Below are 14,814 nucleotides of genomic sequence, written 5' to 3' on the forward strand. Positions count from 1 at the left end.
TCAACTCTCTTTCACTATTTTTCAACAGGTTCACAAGGGCACGAAGTGCAGTATATAAAAAGAGGATAATGACTTGACTTCAGTGCAGGAAAAGGCCCAATGAACAGAGCAGCCAAGCTTGCCGGGACTAGAATAGATGAAAGTTTGGAGAAGAGTCGAGAAGAAATGGCATTGTCTGCATGGAGAAACTCCCCATTTTACATACAGTACTTCTGAGATGCTAAAGTAGACTTTCTGAAGTTCAAAGTTTAAAGAAGAAAGACTCAACTTTGAACGGTTCTGAGTGAGAAGCTGGAATAATGGTAGGCAGCCTTCTGAACTATTCACAGTTGTCTAGTGTGTGCCTTCACTACATGGACACTGATGCATTAGCTTTCTCTACAGGGCTGGCTTCATGGGAGTGTAATCTGTGCAGTCACACAGGACCTCATCCCTAAAGAGGTCCTCCTGCACAAGGTCTAACACTCTGCATAGCCATCTTGAAATTCTTAATAATTTTTGAACAAGATATCCCACATTCTCAGTTTGCATCGGGCCCAGCAAATTATGCAGCCAGTCCTGGTTTAGAAAGACAAAGAGCTGTCACTTTATACAGTCCCAGACACCAGGTCTTTGCTGTGTCAGAATTGTATGAGGAGTTAAGAATATAATTTACATTGTATAAACCTTCAAACTGCACAGATACATCTGTTTTTGTTTATTTGTTTTGTTTGCATTTTCATTTCATGTCTTGTTCCTGTTACAGGGAGAGAAGGGCCACATTTTTTGTTTTTATTGTTTAATGCATGCTATTTTAAGATTTCTCAAGAAGACAGCAGTCCCTGTCCAAAACTGTGTCTGTGTTCTGTGGTTAATTCTATTCTCCACATTCTACATGGAATTCCTGATTCAGGATTCCCTTATGTGATTCCATGACCAGAGAGGCTCAGGAGGAAATGAATCCCTTATTGAAGTCAAGGGAGAACTGGATTCATCTTGGGGAGATTTTTTCCTTCATCTGCTGGGTAAGGAGAAAAACAAAAGAAAGGTCAGCTTTCCTGTTTCTCAGAGAACAGAGATCATAATGTCTGCTGTTTCGTAAACCCACTCACAGTCCCCATGTTAGTGACAACCAGAAGACGACATTCTTGAAAGTAGAACAGAAATTCAACTTAGCACTGTGGGGCAGTGTCTCCTCCACGAACTGGGATTGGAAATGTCTCATATTAAACCCAGAGTGGGACCAAGAACACACCGTAGATGATGGCTTGCTTTAAATAAAAATTATGTCTTAATGACACTTTACCTAACTGACTTTGGAAAGTAATTCCCTGTCCAAGGATTGAAGAGATACATCATGCCAAGCTGTATGATACGTAAACTTTCCATCCTTTTAAGTTTTCCTAATTCTAAGAAGAAATTATGATTAACAGTAATAATGACCACAAACATAGTAAACATACTAGGATAATGATCACAAATAGAGCTTGAAATCCTGATTCCTGCATTTCTAACTGTGACCATGGGCAATTTCCTAACTTCACTGGTCTGTAGTTCCTTCATCTCAAAAACAATGGAGGTACTAAGGCCCAAGGTTTTTGTGGCACTCAGGGTTGGCTAACGTATGCCTTAGATGGCCAAGCACTCTTCTACGTGAAAGCGGATAACGTTGTTAAAGGCAGCTCTCAGCTTTCCACACTGGTATTTGAACACAGAGCCCTTCCCACTTCTTACCCCTCCCTCCCATCTTCTCTTCCAGCTTTGGCCTCTCAGACTTGCTGTGGCTTGGGAGCATATCTGGGGCCCACAGCTGGAATGTCCGGGCTGCTTCCAAGAGCTGGACCCTCAGTCTCAGGCGGGTTCTGGAGGACCCACTCCCAACCCTAACACCCAGTCACCTTCGTGGGGTGATCGTCCCAATGGCCATCACTCCCTCACCACTGGAGTGTTACCTCACAGATGGAGGACCTAGCCTGTGGGAAAGAAGAGACCATGACTTATCGGAACATATGGTTTCTTAATTCAAGTTAAAATGTCTGAACCCTGTTGCATCTGGTGCCATTTTAGTTTGTTAAAAATGCCACACAAGACTGTGACTAAAGGGGAAGAAATGGAGAAAAATACAGTTATTACACACTCAAGAGCCGGGTTTTGCGGCTCATTACCCAGTGGCCTCCGTGACTAATTAGGTTTTGTCACTGTTGCCGGGTCATTATGCCTTAATTTTTTTGCATAGTTATTCAGCCGTCACTTGAGGAAAAATGAAGTAGAGAAATACCCTTCTCTGTCTCCCCTGCTCTGAATCATTCAGGCTAAAAAAACTCTCCAGGCAGAGAGTACCCGAAACTGATGAAATGATCATTTTGCCACAATGGGACAAAGAAGTGTTAGTGGATTAAAGAGGTGCTTCTTTATCTGATGGCAAAGACCTCATTGAGCTGCAGAGGGCACAATTCAGTGGGGGAGATCATTAACTTTGAAGTCAGTCATCCAAAGATAATGTTTGTCCCTTTGCTTCCTTTGTTGTCCAACTGGCCTTAGCAACCTCTATTTTTTTACTCATCCTTGAAAAACTGGGGAAAAATGCATAATAAAATAAGGCCCTTGGGTCTCCTACAGGCCGGAGGCCTAGGTTAATTTTTGCTAGCTGCAAAGGAAATTGAAGACACCATAGTATTAGCACAGTGGGGCTTGTGTTGGGTCCGGGATAGTAAAAGGACCCATGGTGAGAGGGGAGACATTGGTGTCAATCATGGGGTGGGACACCACAATGGCCGGTAATTGGCGTGGGTCCACCTTCTACGTCCGTCCTGCTGAGCCTGCAGCCCCCAGCCCACTCTTGAGCCCCATCGCTAACAAGTAAACAATTTATCAGGGTTAGGTCTCCTGCGGGTTGCCCCATCACACGCTCCATTCGGCCCTAGCACCCCCACAACCCCCGTGCCAGCCCCACCACACACACAAAAATTGACGTACACCGTGCAATTTGGGGCAGACGCACCATGTAACAACACATTTACAACGGGCCTACCATGAAAATGGCTGTGTCAATATAGCTGCAAACTGGGGTAGCAGAGCAGCTGTGTCGGCCCAGAACTGGTGGGCCCCAGAGGGTGTCAGGAGGAGAGGGTCACAGGCATTGGATCATATCAGAGCTGATTATGACCCCTGCATCTTTGACACAAGAACTCACACAAATGTTCACTAGAATCAATCAAATGTCTTATAAGTAGCCTAGCCGTTTTAATGTCATTCTCTGGATTTGTTTATTCTGAACTTTGTTATTGAATGAGTTGTGGCTCTTCAGGAACCAGAGTGTTCCTAAATAAGGGGCTTGCTGGAGACCCTGCTCTGGAGAGTGAAAATCCTGTGGTGAGGATTTTGACAGAATTGTCCATTTTCTAGAAAATAGGGCACTAGACTTTTGGCTCTGGAAGATCTGTTGGAGACACCAGCTGTGACTCTTTCACAAGCTGCGTGATCTTGCTGAAGTTCCTCAGTTCCTCACTTGATAGACACGTTTTGCAGATCGAATGAACTTGTTGGAATTATATATAAAGAGGAAAGTAACTTATTAAATATCTCTTATGTGCCATGCTTTATTTCATTTAATCCTACAACAACAACAAGGAAGGGAATGTTGTCGTCTATCTTTTATAGATCAGGAAAATAAGGCTTCAAAAAGGAAAAGGAATCGGAGATACCTGAAATGGAAGTTAGAACCAAGTCTGTCTACTGACTTGTTTGCTCTGTTGTCCCAAAGTTGGTTCTGTTTCCATGCAATTTTGCCAGGAACAAAATACTCTTAGATAATTTTAAATACACAGTCTCATATTCAGATTGATAAGACATAATTCGGTCTTTTGGAAGACATTTCTTTAAAGGGTTGGAATGGGAAGGAAAATTTCTATGAGATGCGCAGAGCTTTATAACTATGAGGCTTTTTTATTAATTTCTCGGTTTCTAACATTCTGTTATTGCCTTTCACTGTAAGATTTTTATCCAAGACACCCTCCATTATTAGACATGCCTTTATTTTATGTGCTACTGATTTCAGAGTGCTATTAATTTTAGGATTATCCCTACTTGAGAGGTGTTACGATGTAGAAAGTTGTATATTTTAGAATCCAATATGTGTACCTGGATCTCAGCATCATAGGGCTGCTGTATTTTTCCGTGTTCTTGGAAAAAGCAATGGCTTTGTTTGCTGTTTAACAGTTGAAAGTGTGGCTGATGCTGGTTTCCCGTGCGGATGGGGTCTGTGTGTGGGGTGGCTTGCTGAGCTCAGAGTGCAGGAAGGAAGACTCCCCCCAGCCAGGAGTCTCAGCACCATTGTCCTCCCTTGAAGCTGAGACAAAGGAGCAATTTTATGCTAATCAGTGTACATGAAATAAGCTTTTTAAATTTTTTTCTTTTTACAAATTCTACTTCTTTCACTTGGAGACATGATACATGAGGGGAGTCTATACAGCCACATTCCTCAGCTGAGGCACACAGCCAGCGGGGCTGACATCAGGAAAGTACGCAGCAGTGGAGAACTGGACAGAGCCTGTCAGACCTGCCCATCTCTTCAACATGAAGCCCTGCACATTTGTGGGCAGTGTTGGCGTGGGCTGTGTTTGAGGACGTGAAACTAATGTATTTCGGGGAGAGAAAAACTTTCTCTCTACCCTCTGAAGGTTTGAGAATTGAGTCTGTGAAATAAACTGAAAGTAGACAGATTAACAGGAAAAAAAAAATCATTTTAATTACATGCATAACCATGGGAGTCCCACAAAATATGAGACTCAAAGAAGGGTCAGATGATTGAAGTTTCTGTAGCATCCTGAGTTACAGAAAGAAATAGAGGCTTTGAGTTTGTGGGTTCGGGGAGTGGCAGACAGCACAAGTTATGGGAAAGTGAGGGGAGGAATTGTACAGTGAATAAAGGTTGTCTTGTCATGCAGCTGAAGTCTCTCTCAGGTAATATATCTCCCAGCAGCCCTTTTCCTGATACAGATACTCCAATAATGTAGATTTCTGTTCTAGATGTAAATTTCCTTTACAGAAGGACAGCTTTTTAGAGCTACTCCTGTGTGTGCAGTTTCTTAGAATGACCAGCTGAAAATGTATGAAAAAATTTCTAAATCAAACTACATTTGGGCTTTAGAAGCCTCTGTACAAGTCCGTGTAACTAACTGCAACCTAACTTAGCAAATAAACCAACAGAAAACCTAACTTAGGAATTTGCCTTTGTAACAACAACTGAGTCTCAGCCAATTATAGCAGCCGAATTTCAGCCTGTGGCAGGTGGCCAACTGTTCAAACTAGATTCAGTTAAGGCAAATGCAGGGATTTAACCAACTGACTGTCTCTATACCTCATTTTTGCTTTCTGTATGTCATTTCATTTCCTCTGACTGTAAATATAACCTGCACATGTGGTGGGATGAAGCATTCTGAACCATTTTTCTATTTGTTTTAGAGATGGGGGTCTTGCCATGTTGCCCAGGCTGGAATGCAGTTGCTATTCACAGCCACAATCATAGCGCACTGCACCCTTGAACTCCTGGGCTCAAGTGATCCTCCCACCTCAGTCTCCTGAGTAGCTGGGACTACAGGTCCACACCACCATACCTGGCTTCTGAACCATTTTTGATGTAAAATATTGCCCAATTCTAGAATTGCAGATAGAAGCCAATTAACATCTGCAAAACTAGTGTGAAAAGAAAAACTTTAAACAAATTAAATTTAACAGAGTTTAATTGAGCAAAGAATTCTTGAATGAGCAGCCCCCCCAAACCAGAATAGGTTCAGAGCAACTCTGGTGTGGCTGTGTGGTTGGAGAAGATTTATGTATGGGAAAAGGAAAGTGACATAAAGAAAACAGAAGTGAGGTATAGAAATAGCCAGATTGGTTGCAGCTCAATCTTTGCCTTATTTAAACATGGTTTAAACAGTTGGCTGCAGTTCTGCTGCAGAGTGAGTGGCAAGGTTGATCTTTCTCTGAGGTCGTTTCCAGAAGACCCAATCTCTGCGTTCTAGATCATGATGGTCCTCAGTTGGTGGATCATGGAAAAGCTTTCTTTACCTTGTGACAATACACTTTGGCATAATGCATTAAAGCTTGCAGCATTTAGTCGTATGGGAGTTTAGGAGCAGGAGATACATGAGGTTCTATTATTAGGGGCATAAGCCTACCAGTGACTATTTATAGAAGATTAACTTTTAGTTTGCACTGGAAGTAGATCTGATTGTCATCAGTCTGCAATACCTTTGACCAAGGCAATCCTGTCGATTCAATTAGCTTTACCTAATGCCATTGTATCTATAATATCATATTTAACTGTTCTGTAATTCGTCCAGTGAAACAAGTACTTTTATTGTTAGAGATTTTTCCAGGAGTGTCCTATGAGGGAATCACACTTTCTAATAATCTTTTAGCTATTGTTATAGCATCAGCCTTCTTCCATGGGAAAGCTTCTATATTGATATTTAAAAGGATATAAATCCTCTTAAATTGATATTTAAATATCCTCTTAAATATCAATTTTGTTTCTCCAATTCAGGTGCTTAACTGTTTATTAAATGGGTTATCATAGGTAATTTAACTTGGATATGGAATTCACTCAAATTGTCTATCTTAACAATTTCAGTACTGGCTGATTTAGCATGAAAGTCTGGCAAAGTATTTCCTTGGTATATAACTAATTCTTGTTCTGCTTGGGTTAGCAGTTTTATAAACCAGCCAGTCTCTTTATTAGAATTCCAGGAATTCTTACCCAGTCCAAACGATATTATCCTAAAGTTATCAAAAATTTCTATTCAGCAGTGCTTCTCAGGGTCCTTTCCATACTTTCCATGAACTTCCTTGAAGACACAACACTCTAGGATTTTACTTGCTTGCAAAGAACTTCCAGGAAATGCATCAGAATTCAGCAATTAACTGTGGAAAGGACTTAGAATGGTCATGGTTAAAGACACAGTTGACAAGAAAATTTGGTTATTTCTGTGGCCTATAATAATTTAACATAATAACCATAGTTATGATGGGTAACATATAAAGACCTACTAGAATTTTAGGAATCTCATGCAATTTTGAAAGATATATTAATAACATATTCATAAAAATGTAACTTGAAGAAGGTTAACCATTATTTGTTATTTGACAAGGTTTCCCATATAATTTAACATATCTAATAAGCCTATTTATTATCTCTTTTAGATGCTGCAGGGGCCCTCCATAACATCCCAAAGTTAGTTTGAGGTGAAAAGCCTTAATTCTGATTTTGAAATTTGATTTTTGGAAGCCTGTCAAATATATCAAAAGTTTAAAACACTTAATCAAAACAGAGGCCAGGTGTGGTGGCTCATGCCTGTAATCCCAGCACTTTGGGAGGCCGAAGCAGGTGGATCACTTGAGGTCAGGAGTTGGAGACCAGCCTGACCAACATTGTGAAACCTTGTCTCTACTAAAAATACAAAAGTTAGCTGGACATGGTGGTGCACACCTATAGTCCCAGCTACTCAGGAGGCTGAGGCAGGAGAATTACTTGAGCCCAGGATGTGGAGATTGTAGTGAGCTGAGATTGCACCACTGTACTCGAGCCTGGGTGATGGGAGTGAAACCCTGCCTCAAAAAAAAAAAAAAAAAAAAAAAAAGAATCACAAGTCACTGTAAAATAAAAGTCATTCACTTAGCCAAACAGATAATCAACTATTTTTTTTTAAAAAGCAAAAACCTTTATTCTTTGATAAAGAGGAGACTATTTTCCAAAAAAATCAAAAGACCTAATAAAAACGGTATGAGATAGAATCTGTCTCCCTCTCCCCACCTTTTTTTGTAGTTTATGCAAATTTGAATGAAAGTATTTTACTGTCTCTTCTTAATACTACATAAAGTTTTTTAAAAGTAAAAACCAAATTTTACTTTTGTATTAATGTATTATTAATATTAAGCTAATTTTAATAAATTTATAAATATATCATCCAATCTCAGTCAGCTTTTAACCACATAAGATCTTCATAAACCTTTTATAATTTCTTACAAGATTTTTCTTTTTTCTTTTTTAAGCTTTTTATATTTTAGTTTTATTTATATATTTTTTATTTTTGAAATTAAAAATTACCTTTAAATAACTTTTAAACTAGACAAAATTATTTTTTTAACAAACACACATTTTTATTCCTTTACAACTTTCCTCACCAAAAACATATTTTGCTTTTTATATACTTTGTGTACAGAATTTTAAAGTATCTAGTAGTTTGAATTACATATATTAACTACAATTTTAACTCTAGTAACCCAAATTTCTAGTGAAAACCTAGGATTTAAGTTTTAATTGTTTTATATTATTATTTATAGATAAAAACCATATTACATATTTTTAAAAAGATATACTTTCTCAATTTTTTTATTAACAGATCTAAATATATTTAGCTTTTGTATACCACATAAAAATAAAATGCCAAAGTATATAAACTTAAACGTATGTTTAATAATTAATGTTTCAGCTGGGCACAGTGGCTCACGCCTGTAATCCCACACTTTGGGAGGCAGAGGCGGGTGGATCATTTGAGGTGAGGAGTTTGAGACCAGCCTGATCAACATGGTGAAACCCCGTCTCTACTAAATACAAAAAAAGTTAGCCAGGCGTGGTGGTGCATGCCTGTAATCTCAGCTACTCTGAAAGCTGAGGCAGGAGAATCACTTGAACCTGGGAGACAAAGGTTGTAGAGAGCCAGGATTGAGCCACTACACTCCAGCTTGGGCAACAGAGTGAAACTCTGTCTCAAAAAGTAATATAATAATAATAATTAATGTTTCAGTATTTTAACTTAGAAATGACTCAAACACTATATTATTTTTACTTAATTTATTAAATTATTAACATGACTGTAAGATTTTAAATTACTGAAGAGTTTTGAAACTGTGACATAGATAAACTCCCTAATGTCTTTCCCAGTTTTCCTGGGTCCCAAGTAACCACATGGCACCCAGAAGAGCTATGAAAGGCAGGACCCTTCTATGTCCCAGATATAGAGTTCAGGACAGAGAACACAGTGGTGAAGAGTTGCTTGGAGGATCCAACCAATCCCAAAATGGCCAGGAGGCAAAGTTGGACCAGGGAGGATAGGGCCATGTGGGGCGTGGCTCTGCCTTGCAGCTGGTGATTGAACTGTTGAGACTATGTCCCTAGGCCTCAGCATGGTCACCTGTCCAGACCTCAAAAATCTAGAGGCTCAAACCTAAGACAGGCTCACAGCAAGATGTGTGCAAGGCTTTAGGAGAGTCTAGCAGCCAACTCTTACAGCTTTAGCTCACAGACAAGTCAAACAAGTGTGACAAATATTACAGAAGTATCAGTTTTATGACCTTAAAACATGTAGCTAAGACAGAATAAACCTGTCTGACCAGTAGACTCAGGTAAAAATGTCTCAATTATGTTTAACTGACAATTTTGAAGCCTTTTATATTTTAGTTTGCTAACAATTCGAAAACTAGCTTCATTTACCAAGGATTATCACATACATATAACATACATAGATGTGTAGATATACAGACACACCAACAATGATTTTTGAATGGATTTTTTAAAGTACAGTGTTGTTCATTTGGAAAATTCCACTATAATTTTAAATTAGCTTTAGTAAGATTTTGCCATTTTATAAGCATTTGCTACTTTCAGGGCCTAATACTTATATGTGTATAGGTAGATGTAGCCAAAAGATGGAGTACTCAGTTTTTCAGAAACTAAAAATCCCATTTTCACATTGAATCTTGCCTTTGGCTCTTGGATCCCCTTTTGATCAACTTAGTGATTTTTTTCCCTACCTAAAGCAAGCAAGAAAAGGAAACAAAGGGGATAGAACACAAACATGTCTGCAAATTTTTGAAAGCTGAAGTCCACACCTCCTGCAGTACTGACATTTGCTGCCAGTTTCTGTCTATAACCCAGTCAGACATCTAAACCCTCTATCTGGATCTAGACCAGTTAATTATCAGATTCGATCAAATCCTGGACCCAGTCCAGTTTCAGTTGTGACTTCTGAACCAAGTTTGGATAAAAAATTTGCTCAAACAAACTTGGATAGCCCAAAACACAAAGTCATGGAGCTTCAGAATCCAAGACAGCAGTGACACAATGGGCCCGGCATGTACCTCATTTGGCCACTTGATGCTTTTGGGGGTCACTGAAAGTTCTACTTCTAACAGCACTTCTGACACCATCTGTTAAAAAACAAAAAACATAAAACAAAACAAAAAACTTAAATTGAATTTAACAGTTTCATTGAGCAAAGAAGGATTCTTGAATTGGATAGCCTGTTTCCCTGCGACTTTTGCACTGCCATGTGGTTGGAAAGCATTTGTGGACAGAAAAAGGAAAGTGACATACAGAAAACAGAAGTCAGATACAGGCTGGGTGTGGTGGCTCACTCCTGTAATCCCAGCACTTTAGGAGACCAAGGTGGGCAGATCACCTGAGGTCAGGAGTTCAAAACCAGTCTGGCCAACATGGTGAAACACCATTTCTACTAAAAATACAAAAATCAGCCAGGTGTGATGGCTCATGTCTGTAGTCCCAGCTACTCAGGAGGCTGAGGCAGGATAATTGCTTGAACCTGGGAGGCAGATGTTGCAGTGAGCCGAGATCATGCCACTGCACTCCAGCCTGGGCCCCAGAGTGACACTCTGTCTCCTAAATAAATAAATAATAAAATAGGTGGCTGCTAGGCTCTCCTAAAGCCTTGCACACATCTTACAGAAACAGCCAGATTGGTTACAGCTCAACATCTCCCTTATTTGAACACAGCTTGAACAGTTGGCCACTTGTGACCACCCAAAACTTGGTGATTGGTACAAGTATAGATGACAGTCTGTTTACACATCCAGTTAGGTTATAGTTCACTATATATGGGTAAATCTCTAGGCCAAACTTAAAATATGTAAGGAGGCAGCTTTAGGCTAAACTTAATATAAGGATAGATTTGTTGTAATTTTGTCTTTTAACAGAAGTATATTTTGGGGTGGCATATTCTGGTCTTCTGTAGTCAAATTCTGGGGTGGTGTGTCCTGAACCCAACAATACTCACCTATCTGAGGAGAGGATGATCCATATGGAGGGTACAGGGAAAACTGACTCCAGAATCAGGGGCAAAGGCAAGTAAAAGAGCCTTCATTAACCAGACCTACCCAATGCAACTATAGATGAATGCTTCCAGAATAAGGCAAAACACACATACTCTGGTGAGCATTTTCAGTCCTTCACAAGGTATCCCCAACCTCCTTAGATTTCCTACAAGCCTCTAGGCTCCTGTGCTCCTGCCAAGGAGGCTATGAGCTCATGAGATTCCATCCCGTTGACTTTGCTATCACTGTGTTTGGCCTTTTCATTCATTAATGTGGTGTTTCCCTTCTTTCAATTCCTACAGCACTAAGTTTTTTTTTTCACTGTGCCTTATGCTGTGGTCATTTTGTGCCACTTCATTTATAGATTTTAGAATTGCCCAATAGTTGCAATAATCCCATGGCCTGCAAAGGACTACATCTGGGAAATGGAACCCCAGCTAGGTGGGATGCTAGGAGGACAGATACAGGTGTAGACACTTAGAAGTACAGTTCACCAGCTGAACACAGAGCAATTTTTATAACTTTCTTAAAATAAGAGCATACTTTGTACATTTTTGTTTTACAGTTATGTTTATACACTTTTGTATGTAGTATTTTTACATTAATGTTTATACATTTTTATATATAGCTCTATTCTTAGTTTTTTGTTCTCCATAGTGGTTGTACTAATTTACACTCCCACCAACAGTGTACAAGGGTTCCCTTTTCTCCTCATCCACACCAGCATTTGTTATTGCCTGTCTTTTGGATAAAAGCCATTTTAACTGGGGTGAGATGATATCTCATTGTAGTTTTGATTTGTGTTTCTCTGATAATCAGTGATGTTGAGCACCTGTTTGCTATTTGTATGTCTTCTTTTGAGAAATGTCTATTCAGATGTTTTGCCCATTTTTAAATTGGATTATTAGATTTTTTTTTCCTGTAGAGTTGTTTGAGCTCCTTATATATTCTGGTTATCAATCTCTTGTGAGATGGGAAGTTTGCAGATATTTTCTCCCATTCTGTGGGTCATCTCTTCGCTTTGTTGATTGTTTATTTTGCTGTGCAGAAGCTTTTTAACTTGACGTGATCCCGTTTGTCCATTTTTGCTTTGGATGCCTGTGTTTGTGGATTATTACTCAAGAAATTATTGCCCACTCCAAAGTCCTGGAGAGTTCCCCAAAGTTTTTTTATTAGTAGTTTCATAGTTTAGGGTCTTAGATTTAAGTCTTTAATCTATTTGGATTTGAATTTTGTATATTGTGACAGAAACGGGTCTAGTTATCTATGTGCAACAAGAAAATCCCCATAGTCATAGCAGGAGAGAGGCAAGTGTTAACAGAAAAAATGAACTCCGTAACGTATTTTAAAGAGGTTTATTCTGAGCTAATATGAGTGACCGCAGCCCAGGGAAAACACAATTCCAAGAAGCCTCGCTTAAGTGGTCCCAAGGTGGTTGGATTACAGTTTGTTTTATACATTTTAGGGAGGCAAGAGTTACAGGCAAAGACAAATCAGTACATGGATGATATATATTGGTGTGGCCCCAAAAGGCAGGATATCTTGAAGTGAGGGCTTACAGATTAAGGTAGATTTGGACATTCTTTAATTTACAATTAGTTAAAGGAGTAAGTCTCTGTCTAAAACTTGGAGTCAGCAGAAAGGTTGTTTTAAGTAAAGATAAGGATCTTATGTAACAAAATTGATGACCTACAGGCATCAATTTAACCCTTGCCTCATATGGCCTTAGGTCATGTATACTTCGGTATCTTAGTGCCACAAAGAATCTGTTCTGTCAGTCTTATGATCTCTATTTTAATATTAATGCTGGACAGTTGTGTCTGAACTCCAAAAGGAAGGGGATACAATGAGACGTGTTCAACCTCTCTTCTAGTCATGGCCAGGAATTCACTTTCTATTTTTTTCTTGGGTCCCCTTGGCCAAGAAGGGGTCCATTCAATCAGTAGGGGGCTTAGGATTTTATTTTTAGTTTACATGAGCATCTTTCCCTAGTAGTCATATGTCCCTGGACTTTATCTAGCCTCTCATCTCGCCTCTTAGAACTTCAGTTTTCTCATCTAAAACAGGAATAATAATACCAGCCAAAGCTAACACAATGTAAAATTGTTGTGAGGCTCAAGTGAAATGTAAATTGTCATTTTCTCATCATGTCTCTGTCTACTGACCTGTCTCTGGATTCTCAGAATCACAAGTTAATTGATGACTGAAACTCTGTAAGCCCCGAAAATGAGAAAATAGGCTTAATCTCCAATTTAGACTATCTATGATACCTCAATGTGGTGAAAAATGAAATTAAGTGGAATATCTGTTTTGCTTATATGGGACTTGATACTCATATATTTCAAAACATCCTGATGTCCTCTTGATTTTTTCCCCCCAGATTTCAGCTGAATGCTGAATAGGCCTGGTCTGAGCTTTGGTTTGGAAATTAAGCCCTACTATTTAACATTTGCCTAATCCCCCCTGTGGTTCCAGGGTTGTGTTTTCAAAAAAAGTGAAAAACAGCTAATTATTAGTGCTTTGATATGAGATTCCAGACATCCAGAGTTTTCCCCCCATCTCAGAATCTTTGGTGGTGCAGAGACAAAGCACTTAAGAGATTAATGTTTCAATACCATGTTTTACCCTTTGTTGTGCAAAAGGAAAGGTTTTGATTCTTTTACCAAGGATGGAAACCTCTTTCCTCAAGAAAGGCACTCAGCCAAGACCACCTCTTATTGCATTAATTTGATCCATTTTACTTTGGACAGTCTCCTTTTTGCAATTTTTAAAAGTAGAACAAAGTCCCTTTGAAATCAATATTTCCTTTTTATGCAGTTTGTTACCTGCTCTGTGGATCCATGTCCTTAATCCGTCAAAACAGACAAAATGATTCCCCGCTCAATTGACTCATGGAATTTGTAATAACAAATTAAGTATTTGAAGTGAGCCAAATTTGGAAAAGGAATTCTGAAATAGTTAAGCCATAAACTATAGTGTGTACATGAAGTTTTCATGCGTGAATTTGTATCTTTATGTATTTGTGAAATTAATTCAACAAACATATATTGAATACCTTCCATCTGACAGGTACTAAGTGAATAAAATATAGTCCTTGCCATTAAGGAGAGTTTTCACATGCTGAATACAGACTATTCTCTTACTTCCCCCTCTTCTCTTTTTATTTTTTTTTAACTGCTTCATTTTTTTCTCTCTGAATCTCATCAATGTCCTCTCAAAAGTGAAACAAACCCACACTGTGTTAGCTGGGCTCAAGATTGAAGTACCAAAGATTAGCTAACCTGCTGATGGGATTACTTACTGTGAGGGAGAAAAAGTAACAAGCATTGGTATTTCTAGATTCATTCATCTATAAGAAAATTTCTTTCCCGGCAATGCAAAGAAGAAAACATTTATAATATCTCAGTGTATCAAATATTAATGGCATAAATTCATACAAATGTTTTTCTGTTTAACTCAACTGATATTAACTGAGTGCCTGCTAGCTCTTGAGTGATTGCAATTGCACGGTTTTATTGTTTTCTTCTTTCACGAAGGCAGTGGACATTGAGTGACAAACAGCACATATAATTCATGCCAACATACCAGGATATCCAGCCTATACCACACTAATCATATGTATATTTGGAAGGCATTGTGCATAATTTATTTCATATTAGCAGTATGTCTGGATTATTGATTTGTTTTTTTTCTTTTTTGAATCAGATAAGCAAAACAAAAAGTGAA

The 14,814-nt window shown here is 38.8% G+C and overlaps 1 annotated feature.

Moving 5' to 3' along the window:
• Positions 4,192-4,361: an enhancer, noted in NCBI's record as "experimental_19843 CRE fragment used in MPRA reporter constructs". NCBI's record gives its function as "activates a minimal promoter by MPRAs in K562 erythroleukemia cells, with activity observed for the non-introgressed 11:20300179 variant allele {active_cell/tissue: K562}" and the evidence as "EXISTENCE:reporter gene assay evidence [ECO:0000049][PMID:34662402]".

Source organism: Homo sapiens, chromosome 11 (genome assembly GCF_000001405.40).
Source record: "Homo sapiens chromosome 11, GRCh38.p14 Primary Assembly".
Lineage (NCBI taxonomy): Eukaryota > Metazoa > Chordata > Mammalia > Primates > Hominidae > Homo > Homo sapiens.